At 38.5% G+C, this 14,542-nt stretch overlaps 1 protein-coding gene across 3 annotated transcripts in view; it reads left to right on the top strand.

Moving 5' to 3' along the window:
* The window catches only part of CORIN (corin, serine peptidase), a 244,067-nt gene that overhangs the window by 164,756 nt on the left and 64,769 nt on the right, over positions 1–14,542 (top strand). For all 3 annotated transcript variants that reach the window (NM_001278585.2, NM_006587.4, NM_001278586.2), the window contains 2 exons: positions 8,049–8,280; positions 11,456–11,601. In NM_001278585.2, coding sequence (NP_001265514.1) covers positions 8,049–8,280; positions 11,456–11,601 — 378 coding nt within the window. The remainder of the gene's footprint in view (positions 1–8,048; positions 8,281–11,455; positions 11,602–14,542) is intronic.

Genomic DNA, 14,542 nt, shown 5'->3' with positions numbered 1-14,542 from the left:
CTCCGCCTCCCAGGTTCAAGCGATTCTCCTGCCTCAGCCTCCCAAGTAGCTGGGATTATAGGCACACACCACCACACCCAGCTAATTTATTTATTTATTTATTTATTTATTTATTTATTTATTTATTTATTTTTTGGTAAAGATGGCGTTTCACCATGTTGGTCAGGCAGGTCTCAAACTCCTGACCTCAAGTAATCCACTGGCCTTACAGGCGCGAGCCACTGCACCCAGCCAGGGTATTACTTCTTAACACATGTCCTCTCAGTCTAAGGCCCTTGGAAGCTGGGATGCTGAAAGTCTTCGGCCTTGCATTTGCTGCAGTTTCGCGGTCCTAATTTTTCTGGGTCACTGTAGAGCTTATAGTGAGTACCTCTATAACTGTTACAGAGTCTCAAGGGGGTGAAAAAAGGAGGCTGGGAAGGGGGTGTAGGCAGGCAGCTAATTAACCCAGACTGACAGGATTGACTGTGGCATTTAATAACTCTTTGCCTGGAAGCACATGCCCACCCCTCCTCCATTTCCCATATGAGAGAACAGTAGATATTAGTCAAGCCACAAAGTCAACACACTCAAACTGCCATTTTACTTCCTCTAAACTGATTTAAATAGAAACTGATTTAAATAGAACATATCTATAGATATGCATATATATGTGTATATATGTGTGTATATATATACACACACACACACACGTATAACATATTTGGGCCACTGTTTCCATTGTTTCATTTTACTCGTCTCTCAATCTGCCGTGGAAATTTTTCAGAGCGATTTCCTTACTTCACCTTCAACTTAAATAGTGACAGTGTCATCTCAAAGACATGTGTTTACTATTAAAGTTTTGGGGGTTGTTTGACATGGAATGACACTTACTATTAGACTCAAAAATGTAGAAAAGGCAATGTTAGCCTGTGTCAAATTTGGGTAGGAAGTGACTGGGTGTATGTTATCCTATTTTCTCTATATTTGAAATATTTCGAATTTTAAATATTTAAAATATGTTGTCTCCTGTCAAAAGAATAAATTGTAGGAAAGGCAACTGGATAACTCTTGGCTCATAGAGCTGACCAATATTTGTAGTGTGTACATGATGTTCCAAGCATCGGGATGGGCGCTGGGCTTTCTAGTGGTGGAGAAAGGAGACAGGCTTCTAGCTTCTTAGAAGTCACTTTTCAGTGTGGGAGAACATATTGTCATCTTCCCACTGATATATTCTACACTGTTGTTCTCTTTAAGCTCTTTAAATACACTCAGTTTACCTAGTGTCTCACTGTGTCACCAGCTTCCTCATTCATCATGTATATTCTTGCCAACTTCTCTCCACATATATTCAGCAAACGTTTGCACCTGCTCTCTTCTGAGTAAAAGCCACTAGGCTAGCCACTTGCCCTCATTACTCCTGTGTTATTAAAAATGGCACATAGGCCGGGCGCGGTGGCTCACGCCTGTAATCCCAGCACTTTGGGAGGCCGAGGCGGGTGGATCATGAGGTCAGGAGATTGAGACCATCCTGGCTAACATGGTGATACCCAGTCTGTACTAAAAATACAAAAAAAAAAATTAGCCGGGCATGGTGGCGGGCGCCTGTAGTCCCAGCTACTCAAGAGGCTGAGGCAGGAGAATGGCATGAATCCAGGAGGTGGAGGTTGCAGTGAGCTGAGACCGTGCCACTGCACTCCAGCCTGGGTGAGAGATCGAGATTCCGTCTCAATAAAAAAATAAATAAATAAAAAATAAGGCGTATGTGCCTAACTTGCAGTTGAAAGTCAAGATGTTATTCCTGATCTTTCAAAGAACTTCAAGATGATATATGCATACTTAGGTCTCTGTAAGGACAAACAAGTGGCATCTCAGAAAATCCTTCATACATTTGAAAATATGGTTCATTACTTGAAGATGTTTACCACTATCAAGAGACTAGTATTACTTAGCTTCTGAGGCACAAATGAACAGTAATTTCTTAGTCTGCTTGATGCCAAAGGAAAATTTGAGTTTGGAGAATGTAGTAGATATTCTGTCTGGTGGAGACAGCCTCTCACTGGAGTTGCCGGGATTCTTGTCCTTGAAGACTCTGATTCTTGCCATCCCATAAAATATTATGTGATTTTCTAATGGTCGCTAAAGATATATTGGGTGGGACCCAGTCATCAGTATTTTTTAATTCTACAGATGACTTCAATGTATAGCCAAGGTTGAGAATGTATTGCTCTAGTGCCTATTTATGACTGGGCTGCAGGGGTATGTGAGAACTTTGAAATAGAATATGAAAAGGTTTGTGTATTCCCATGTGCATTTTTCAGTGGAGAAGCTTATTTTAAATTCACAGAAGTGCCTACAGCTTTTTTAAAAAGCCTAAAAACCACATTTCTTATGATACATAGTTTTTTCAAGAAATAGCTTTTAGCAGCCTGTGTTGCCATGTCCAGTCACAACCCAGCATCTTTAACATTTCTGTGCCATGTTGGGAGGCAAAATACAGATGTGTCCTTGCCTTTGAGGGTAGGAGCAGGAATGCTATTCTCCTCATTCCGGTGTGGAGGGACTAATCCATCACTTCTCCCTTGTGGTATGCAATCCAGACAATGGGGAGAACCTGCAAAAGCGACTCCTGGGCATGTCTCTCCTGCCTCCCTGTGCCCATGCTGACCATGGCTGTGAAATCCAGGCATGGCTGTCATGTCCCAGGCCCTCTCTCAAGCCTCCCACAGTGTTCGTCAACCTTTAGTTTTACGCTTACTCGTGCATTTTCCCCTCTTATTCAACACCAAGGAAGAAATGAACAGGTTTGCTTTTTGAATAATTCCCTAAGGGTCTAGCAATTTCCTACTCTCTCTTTGCAAGCTTCAGTTGGTAGGAGTAAACGGTGTAGTCATGTGGTAGAGAAGCCAATCACTATAATGGTTACAGACTTCTGTCCTTAGGAGCAAATAGTAGAAGAGAGGAATGATGTATTTACAAAAGCATTTCCATGTGCATTTTCTAATAAGTGAAAAAAAGATTGAATACAATATTACCATTTGGTAACACGTTGAATTAATGAATGAAGACATGGAGCATCTACAGCTGCTAACATCACAAAAAGAGGGAAATCAGAATGATGTGGCTTCTGGTGAAAGAACAGCTTAGCCACTTCTAGTCTTGTGAATGGAATGAAGCCCAGCCCACTCTTGTTGATTCAGCTGCCGAGGTTCAGAAATAGAAAGAATGGGGAACGTGTTTAACTTCACCAGGAGTGTGCGATAAGCAAGATTCAAAAGCTGGTATACCCTACAAGTCAAATGTCTGGGTTCTTCTATAGTTAAATTATAAAGAAAAACAAAAGAATGGAGGAGGAACCCAAAGACTACGAGAGACTTAAAAGACAGGACAAGTTTCAAAAAATGGGCAAGCCTAAATTACAATATCCAGGGGTGGTACACACTTAGGTAATAAAATTATAAAGAAGCCGGGTGCGGTGGCTCACGCCTGTAATCCCAGCACTTTGGGAGGCCGAGGCGGGCAGATCACAAGGTCAGGAAATTGAGACCATCCTGGCTAACATGGTGAAACCCCATCTCTACTAAAAATACAAAAAAATTAGCTGGACGTGGTGGTGGGCACCTGTAGTCCCAGCTACTCGGGAAGCTGAGGCAGGAGAATGGTGCGAACCCAGGAGGCAGAGCTTGCAGTGAGCCCAGATCGTGCCACTGCACTCCAGCCTGGGTGACAGAGCGAGACTCTGTCACAAAAAAAAAAAAAAGCATATATATATATATATAGAAGAGCAAGGAAGTGAGACAGTTGAGATAAGACAAGATATATGGAAGGTTTCTGCGGTGTCTGCCTGAGTTCAGTTTCTTGACCTGGGAGGTAGTTATAAGGATGTTCACCTTAAAATAATATCAAACTATTAAAAATAATAATGTTAAAGAGGGATTTAGAGTTTGAGGCAAAGATGAATTTTTGAATATTATTATATACGCAGCTAGATGTAGAAAAGTCACATTTTTCATGTAAATGACCATCGCTTAATACATGATTTCTAGTAACTTCAGAGTATCACATCATAACGATATAACACCATTGAGTTAACGATCCCATCTTTAGGTTGAATTGAACGAATCTTGTTACAGACTTTGAAAGGTGGAATACCATTGAGATTCCATCAGGATTTTTTTCTTTGACAGATCTTTATTAAACCTCATCTGTGTTCGGGACACTGTACTGGGTACTACATCAAACTTATATCGGAAGCACAGTTCTGCAGCCCTAAAATATCCTCACGTTTGTGATGCGATCTCCCTCTAGTGGCGATTTTTAAATCAGGATCACACATGAGCCTAATGCTTAAGATAAAAAAGCTTATTGATATCATAAATCATAGAATTTGGGGTTGACAGGTATTTTGAGAGTTTATCTTGCTTAGCATTCTGTGAAGAATGCCTTTAAAGGAATAAAACTCAAGATCCAATAAACCTTACCGAATTCAATAAAGATCTACAGAATAATATATGATCATTACTTAATCCTTTCCTTTTCCTTGGCTCCTAAACACTTAAAAGTTATGTCTTAACCCAAATCAAAAGTGATACATTCTCCACATGTAAAAAAGAGAAAAATTATTCATGCGATATGTTCTGTTAATCATCTTCAGTGAAATACATCAATAAAAAGTTGAACCTTGATGGGGTGGTAGAAAGAAAGAAACGGAGGGTATGCACAAGGAAAGAAAGGACTGCATCAGAAATATCTGTAAGTGAACCAATTGTGTAAAATTTTAAGTATATTAAAGATATCAGGAAAAAAGCATAGAGTTAGAGCTGCATGTGCTGACTTGTAAGATGGTCATGACAAATAAGCAACAAAAGCAAATTGAAGGGTGATAGGAATGGTATGCTTCTGCTTTGGCAAAAGCAAACAGAAATCCCTGTCTAAGTGTGCAAAGGCATGTATGGATAAATGTGAGCGGGGAAAGGCATGGAAGCATTCAAAGCCTTCTGTTGGCTTGCAGGGAAGGTAACAGAAAGGGGAGTGGAGAGATGTTGAACTTTTTCTTTCTGCATCTTTGTAGTGTTTTTATTGTTATGAAAAACATGCATTTTTAAATCTTGTAACAAAATATTTAAATGTTACTTCTTGTCTTAGTTCAGACTGCTATAACAAATCATTATTGCTTATAAACAACATACATTTATTTCTCACAGTTCTGGAAGCTGGAAATCTGAGATGAGGTTGCCATCATGGTCAGGTTCTGGTGAGGACCCTCTCTGGGCTGCAGATGGCTGACTTTTCACTGTATTCTCACACTGTGAAAAGAGAGCGAGAGAGATCTGTGTGGTCCCTTTTATAAGGGCACTAATCCCATTCTTGGGGGCTGTACCCTTATAACTCAATCACCTCCCAAAGCCTCCACCTCCTAATACCACCACATTGGAGGTTAGGATTTCAACATATGAATTTTGGGGGAACACAAACATTTAGTCCATAATGTCCAACCCCTCCTTCACAAATCACAGGAAAGGATAAACTGAACCGACCAACCCCAAACCTCTTCCGTCTAGTCTTCTCTCCACTCTGACTCATCCTCAAGATTATGCCAGCCTTTCAGTGTTGTGTCTTCTTCAGCAAACTGAGAGTCATATTGCACTTCATGCATCATTTTTTTTTAATCAGGCCAACATCAGCCTCCTTATAAATATAATATCTGTGATATCCTCGGATTCTTTCAATTAAGAAGTAGTCCTGGAGATGTTTTAATATTTCAGCCCAGTCCTTATTGCAAATCTATTTGCATGGATACCACTTCTTAGTCAAATAATTAAATTTAATTTGAATAATCACTCTCAATAAGGCATGGAGTCTTTGGTCTGCCTGGGCGAATTTTACCAGGACACTTGCTTGCCTGCCTCTCCACACAGGGAATGTGGCATATCTACTGCAAACAGAGAGAGGGAGCTGGGAGCCTCTCTGCTGTATTCCCCCAAAGCTGCCCAAACCACATTTATCATTGGAAGGAGTGTTAGTCTGTTTTCACGCTGCTGATAAAGACATACCTGAGACTGGGCAATTTACAAAAGAAAGAGGTTTAATGGACTTACAGTTCCACATGACTGGGGAGGCCTCACAATCATGGTGGAAGGTAAAAGGCACGTCTCACATGGTGGCAGACAAGAGAAGAATGAGAGCCAAGTGAAAGGTGAAACCCCTTATAAAATCATCAGATTTTGTGAGACTTATTCACTACCATGAGAACAGTATGGGGAAAACTGCCCCATTATCAGTGATCTCCCACTGGCTCCCTCCCACAACAAGTGGGGATTATGGGAGCTACAATTCAAGATGAGATTTGGGTGGGACACAGCCAGACCATATCAGAGGGCTTCCCAGTTCACTCTTGCACTACCTTTTCCCTTTGGACTCTAGCATTTTGTTCAATATGTCTGTCTTAGTATGTTCAAGCTGCTACAATAAAATGCCATGGATTGGGTGGCTTAAATGACAAACATTTATTTCTCACAGTTCTGAAGGCTGGAAGTGCAGGATCAGGATGCTGGCAGACTTGGTCTCTGGTAACAGGCTGCTTCCTGGTTTGCAGACAGTTGCCCTCTTGCGTTTCCTCACATGGCTGAGAGAGCGAGAGCTTTAGTCTCTTCTCCTTCTTATAAGGACTTTAATCCCATATAAATGCCACCCTCATCTAGACCTCATTGAAACCTCATCACCTCCCAAAGGCCCCACCTCCAAATACTATCACATTGCAGGTTAGAGTTTCAGCGTATGAATGGAGATACACAAATGTTCAGTTCATGCAAACTCTATCCTACCCTGTTCACATTCTACTACAGCTACCAGCGCGTGCATCCTTTTTCCTATCGAGATTGTGGAGTTCCTCAGTGGCAGAGACAATATTTCTCATTACTCTTACATTTACATTGCCTAGGATAGTCCCTGATACATTTTCCTCCCTTCATTCTGGCACTGTGCTAGGTGTAGACTTCAAGATCAAGAGATAAAGTCTCATTTCACAAAAATCTCAGGATTGTGTAGGGGAGGCAAGTAAGTAAATAAAGAATATGGCAGAATGCAATGAACATATGGTGGGTATGTGCCTAAGACGCTATTGCACTCACAAAAGACTCATTCTGGAAGTAGTAATGGGAAGAGTGGTTGGCCAGGAAGGTTTCCTGGAAGAGGTATTTGTGCTGAGTCTTCCAGACCACAGAGGAGTTAGCTTGTTGGGGAAGATGGGAAAGGGTTAATCCAGGCAGCAGGTGCCGTATGGCCCTGGCAGCTAGAACCATGACCACCTTTGGGGAGATAATTATGAGCATGTTATAAAAGAGGAGGTAAGAGAGGAGCAAACAGGGTGCATAAAGTCATACAATTCTTAAAATATCTGGTGTCATAAGGGAATAGAATTTATTACAGCAGAGATACTGTTGATTGGATAATCACAGGCAATGAAGCTGAAAAGTTAGCCTAGGGTTGAAGTATAAAATAGCCTCAGACTTCAAGCTAAGGGGTTTGGATTTTGTCTTATTAGTGAGAAGTATTCAACAGATCTGAGCCTCCTCTTGCCCTGAAATCTTGTAGCCTTATATTTAAACACATTAATCAACAATAAAACATATAGACAGAAGTTATCTACTTGCCTATTTGATCAAATTCATTAATTAGTTTAGTGACAGTGAAGATGATGGGGCTATCCTATTTTAGTAGTAATAAGTAAATCAGAAGAAGAAGATGAATTGGAGTCAATAAAAGGAATGATGAAAGAGAGTCATCTTTAGATAAGTTGAGCCAAGGGAAAAAATGAGGAAGGACTTTCTAAAGCAAGATGTTGTCACAGTGCTAGCAACTACATATACAGAAATGAATCTTAGTTGCCAGGGCACTTCACTAATCAACTTACTTATTTTCAATATCCATAAAAAATGTTATATACTACTGGCATTCTAGTCTTAGCTACTCTAAAGAAAGAATAAAATAGACTTCAAGTTTGTAAAACTTAAAGAAGTTGTTTTTATATGTGAAATTTAAAAATATTTGTGTGTATGTTTCTTTGTTAGGTCAATGTGAACCAATTACATTGGAACTCTGCATGAATTTGCCCTACAACAGTACAAGTTATCCAAATTATTTTGGCCACAGGACTCAAAAGGAAGCATCCATCAGCTGGGAGTCTTCTCTTTTCCCTGCACTTGTTCAAACCAACTGTTATAAATACCTCATGTTCTTTTCTTGCACCATTTTGGTACCAAAATGTGATGTGAATACAGGCGAGCATATCCCTCCTTGCAGGTAATATGATGGGATCTACCCCAGTCCCTTATTTTGCCTCAGAGAGAACCAAGGGGTGAAGACTTAGTTGAGTTTGGACAACGTAAATTTCCCTAAGGAGCTCTGCATTTATCAAATACTTTATATTTAACAAGTGAGACAAAGAAGTAGAAGTTGTAAAATGAATATTTGAGTCAGAATTCATTAACGAAGTACCAAACAAGGGAGCTGTGAACGTCCTTTGATGATAGTTTATGTGTTTTAATCAAATAAATTCACAGGTATTTCATTCTGTTGTATTAAAAAGCCATTTTTTTAAAAAAGTATGATAGTATAAAAGGGATATATCTGCCTCTTTTTCTGGCAACACTGATGTGTTTACAATGCTGCACTCTGACAGCACTTGTTAGAGATATGACATAAGAATACATAGTGCCAGACTCACAGATTGGACAGCGATGGACATTGCTGACATTTCTCTGCCTGTTTGAATGAAATAAGATGCGCTATTTCAAGAGCGTAGCTTGGACTTTGAATATGAGTGATATTCTAGTGTCAAGAGTATTGTTCCAGAGTCCATGTTTGGGTTAAAATCTTGACCCTTCTCTAGTTTCTAGGTAGCCCTTAGACAAAATCCTGAGTCTCTCTCAGCCTCGGTTCCTTTACATGTAGAATAAGGATAGTAATGGTTGTTGGGTTGTATTGTTTTGAGATCAAATGAATGTAAAGTGCTTCTGATTCATTGTAATGAACCCTGAATGGACAATAGCTATGATGATAGCACAGGAACACAATAGCTTCTTGGCAGTCTGTCCCTTTGCTGCGCCATGTGTTAGGCATTGTAGTCAGAGGGTTTGCATATACAGGATGACTCTCAGAAGTGAGTTGCTACTCTCTTCAGTGCTGTTTTCCCTCAAGGGGTAGGTATACAAATGTGCTGGCCTAAATGCGAGTAGCAACTGCAGAAACCATATGTTGGGATCAGAAGTCACGCAGAGTTTTTTTTAAAAAGCAGTACTATTACTATAGTGGACAGAAGAGAAAACAATAAATTATATGCTGAATACCAAATGGATAACAAAGTAAGGGCATCTATAGAGACAGGACAGGAAATAATAAAATTTCAAAATGACTTGGGGAACTGAACAAATTATACCAATAGAGAGAATAAAACTAAATGTTAGCTTGTGTAGAAAAATATCTGAAAATTTCTGCTAAGTACTTTTAAAAGTATCTCTAATAAAACATCTACCAATTTTATGTTAAAAAGCTGTTTTAAATCTTACTTCACTTTTGCAAAGCAAGGTCAGTGATAGTGAATAATTTCTTTTAATAGTACTTAACAATTTCTGGCATTTGACTTTCTTTTCATATGTAGATAAAAATTTCCCTGAAGCAGCATTTTCTGCTATAAATATAAATGTGAATTTATATCCAGATGTAATTTATAATTTCAGGGCTTAAGTTCCATATTAAAATGCATAAGACCAAGGATGATCCTGAAGTGTTGTTCAATCAAAATTTTGGTAAATTTCTTTTAGATAAATTTATTTCTTTTTTTCAGGTTTACCCATACATCTTTCATTTTCAGTGTCTATCACTACGAATTTTATATTTTGATATTTGTTTATAAGAAATTTTTGAATAATATGCTAATAAGTTCATAAAGCAATACATAGTTGCTTTTGCTAGGTGTGTTTATTAATTTTAACATTGAATTTTTTAGCTATGAGACTGAAAAATCTAACATCGAGTCCTTACAATGGGCTAAATACTTGAGGATTGTTATGCTGTAGCGTACTCAAAATAACCTTTTGAAGTGTGTATCATCAGAGGTGCTACCTATGGCTGAACACTACAAGGACTATGATAAGAACAGCGCCCCCTGGACTTGTGGTGCTGCATATTGTTGTAATTTCCATTTTACAGAAAAAAATTGGAAGTGGTAGAGTCAGGCACTATATAGTCTTTTGTACAAATAAGTATCATATGACTAATTTAAAATAGCAGTTGCAATTGAGTTATATACATTTTTTATAAATCTGCAACAAAACTAGTTAGTTCAACAGACAGTTATCAACTATTGAACTTTCCATCTTTCCTGACCTAATATAGAAATACCATGGCTTTATCTTTACCACAAATTCCTGGGCTAAGCCAGTGTTGAGTTATGCTGAGCTTTGTCCAGACTTAAACCTAGACAGAACTTTCTCCGAAATTTCCTCATTTGATTGTTACACTTTCTCTACCAGTTTTGGGCAAGACTGGAGCTGGCCTTTCTGGAAGATCTGTCTCCCATTTTATCTTAAAAATGAGAACTTAGTTGAATTAGTGTATAAAATTTGAAACTTTTGATAAGTAAGAGTTTATTTGAGTCCATTAAGAGTATATTGGCCTAGGAACTTACTTTGGTTAGTTTTTTTTTTAACTGTGTAACTAATTTCTTAGTAATATATTGAGACAAAAATCATATTTTTTTCCATAAGAAGTAAAAAAAGAAGTAAAGAAATCTTCTGTGAGGCACGCTGATACTTTAACTTAAAAATATTCTGGAGACAAAAGACATAATACGCACGAAAGCACCTGATACAATAATATATCATTTCTTTAAAACAAAAACCAAACATTTTAACCAACTCGAGCTCAACGTAAGTGGGTTTGGAAGGAGTCCTAAGCTTTTCACCAATATTGATGGAAGCTGAAGTAAGGGAGGCATGCCTTAGGCAAGCTAAGGTGGCACATGAGATGGCTCACAAGGCTGGTCTGCAGAGGGGGAGATCTCTGAGGATGAGGGTGTTGTATAGATTCAATGACTTTGGTGGCAAACTATCCAAAGTGATGTTGGAGACTTCCCTGTTTGGAACAAAAGGTTGGAGAATATGTCTCCTTCAAAGACAGAAGACAGAATGAGAAAGGCAGTGTAGAGAAGGGAATCTGTGTCCTGGAAACATCTTTAGACCTATTTCTGCAATAAAGTTTCTTTTGGTGAAAGTGTGGTGCTGGAATGTATACTCTTTGCAGAGATATTACTCATTTTGGTTTCCCAAATACCTATCATATATATGTGCATCTTTTATATCCACACACCCACAATACATGCCACATACACAGAATTAAAACTTGACATAAATTTATGACATCTGTCTCAGATGGAGCTATTTCTGCTTCTAATGTTTTGTCTTTCTTGTTCATCTAGGGCATTGTGTGAACACTCTAAAGAACGCTGTGAGTCTGTTCTTGGGATTGTGGGCCTACAGTGGCCTGAAGACACAGATTGCAGTCAATTTCCAGAGGAAAATTCAGACAATCAAACCTGCCTGATGCCTGATGAATATGTGGAAGGTTAATTTTAAAATTAATTACAGCAGGGTATCTAACATGGATGAACATGTTAGCTACCTTTTGAATTTCTTCTATTTATGGCTTCTTGTTTGTTTGTTTTCTATTTAGTTTCCAATCAGGCTGCTTAGGTGAGTGAATTTGTGAACTTGATTGCATTGAAGAATTTGGCACTCATCTGTTAGATATTGCATTCATTTTAAAAATAAAGAAGTCATTTTCTATTTCTATTCTTTTATTTTTGTGGGTACATAGGTGTATATATGTATGGGGTACCTAAAATATTTTGATACAGGCATACAGTGCATAATAATCACATCAAGTAGATGAGATATCCATCACCCCAAGCATTTATCCTTTCTTTATGTTACAAACAATCCAGTTATACTCCTTTAGTTATCTTTAAATGTACAATAAATTATTGTTGACTGTAGTCACTCTGTTGTGCTATCAAATACTAGATCTTATTCATTCTATCTAACTATATTTCTGTACCAATTAACCAACCCTGCTTTCCCCCACCACTACCCTTCGCAGACACTGGCAACCATTGGTCTACTTTCTATCACCATGACTTCAATTGTGTTAATTTTCAGCTCCCACAAATAAGTGAGAACATAAGAAGTTTGTATTTCTGTGCCTGGCTTATTTCAGGTAACATAATGACGTCTTCTTTTATCCTTGTTGTTGCAAACGACAGGATCTCATTCTTTTTTAAGGCTGAATAATAATCCATTGCATATATGTACCACATTTTCTTTAACCATTCATCTTTTGATGGACACTTAGGTTGCTTCCAAATCTTGGCTATTGTGAATAGTGCTGCAACAAGCATGGGAGTGCAGATATCTCTTCTATATACTGGTTTCCTTTCTTTTAGGTATATACCTAGCAGTGGGATTGCTGGGTCATGTATTAGGTCTACTTTTAGTTTTTTGAGAAGCCTCTAAATTGTTCTCCCTAGTGGTTGTACCAATTTGCATTCTCACCAATAGTGGGTGAGGATCCCCTTTTCTCCACATCCTTGCTAGCATTTGTTATTGTCTGTCTTTTGGATATAAGACATTTTAATTTGGGTGAGATGATACCTCATTGTAGTTTTGATTTGCATTTATCTGATAGTCAGTGATGTTGAGCACCTTTTCATATACCTGTTTGTCATTCGTATGTCTTCTTTTGAGATATGTTTATTCAGCTCTTTTGTCCATTTTTAAATCAGATTATTAGTTATTTTTGTATAGAGTTGTTTGAGCATTTTATATATTCTGGTTATTAATCCCTTATCATATGGATATTTTGCAAATATTTTCTCCCATTCTGTGAGTTGTCTCTTCACTTTCCTTTGCTTTGCAGAAGCTTTTTAACTTTATGTAATCGCATTTGTCCATTTTTGCTTTGGTTGTCTGTGTTCCTGTGATATTACATAAGAAATCTTTGTGCAGTCCAGTGTACTGGAAAGTTTCCCCAATGTTTTCTTCTAGTAGTTTCATAGTTTGAAGTCATAGGTTTAAGTCTTTATTCATTTTGATTTGATTTTTGTATGTGGTGAGAGATAGGGGTCTAATTTCATTCTTCTGCATATGAATATCCAGTTTTCTCAGCACCATTCACTGAAGAGACTGTCCTTTCCCCAGTGTGTGTTCTTGAAACCTTTGCTGAAAATGAGTTCACTGTAGATGTATGAGTTCTTTTCTCAGTTTTCTGTTCCCTTAGCCTATGTGTCTGTTTTTATGCTGGTACCATTCTGTTTTTGCTATTATAGCTCTGTAGTGTAATTTGAAGTCAGGTAATGTGATTCCTCTAGTTCTTTTTGCTCGGGATAGCTTTGGCTGTTCTGAGTCTTTTGTGATTCCATATGAATTTTAGGACTTTTTTCCCATTTCTGTGAAGAATGTCATTGGGATTATATTTAATCTATAGATTGCTTTACATAGTGATATAGTTTGGATATTTGTCCCTGCTCAGATCTCATGTTGAGATGTAATCCCCAGTGTTGGAGTTGGGGCCTGATGGGAGGTGTTTGGATCATGGGGGCAGATCCCTTGTGATTGGTTTGGGTCATCTCCTTGATGACAAGTGAGCTCTTGCTCTGCGTTCACATGACATCTGGTCATTTAAAAGTGCTGTAGCATCTCTTCCCCTACTCTCTCTCTTGCTCCTTTACCATGTGATGTGCCTACTTCCCTTTTGCTTTTCACTGTGACTGTAAGCTTCTTGGGGCCTTCATAGAAGCTGAGCAGATGTCTTCACCATGGTTCCTGTAAAGGCTGCAGAACCATGAGTCAATTAAACCTCTTTTCTTTATAAATTACCCAGTCTCAGATATTTCTTTATAGCAACACAAGAACAGCCTGACACAGAAAATTGGTACTAGATGTTCAGCATTGCTATAAAGATACCTGAAAATGTGGAAGCAACTTTGGAACCGGGTAACAGGCAGGGGTTGGAAGAGTTTGGAGAGCTCAGAAGAAGACAGGAAGATGAGGGAAAGTTTGGAACTTCTTAAAAATTGGTTAAGTGATTGTGACCCAAAATTCCGATAGTGATATGGATAGTGAAGGCCAGGCTGATGAGATCTCAGATGGAAATGTGGAACTAATTGGGAACCGGGGGAAAGGTTCACCCATATCTTGTGTTAGAAAAGAGTTTGGCTGCATTCTGTTTATGCCCTAAGGATCTGTTGAAGTTGGAACTTCAGAGTGAAAATTTAGGGTATCTGATGAAAGAAATTTCTAAGCAACAAAGTGTTCAAGAGATAGCCTGGCTGCGTCTAACAGCCTGTGCTCAGATACAGGAGCAAAGAAATAACTTGAAGTTGGAACTTATAGTTAAAAGGGAAGCAGAGCATAAAAGTGTGGAAAATTTGCAGCCTACCTATGTGGTAAAGAAACAAAAAGCTTTTTCAGTAGAGGAATTCAAGCAGGCTGAATTGCTGGAGAAATTT

This window comes from Homo sapiens, chromosome 4, assembly GCF_000001405.40.
Source record: "Homo sapiens chromosome 4, GRCh38.p14 Primary Assembly".
Taxonomy (NCBI): domain Eukaryota; kingdom Metazoa; phylum Chordata; class Mammalia; order Primates; family Hominidae; genus Homo; species Homo sapiens.
Note: the sequence above shows the minus strand (reverse complement) of the source record. Positions and strands in the feature narration are given on the sequence as shown.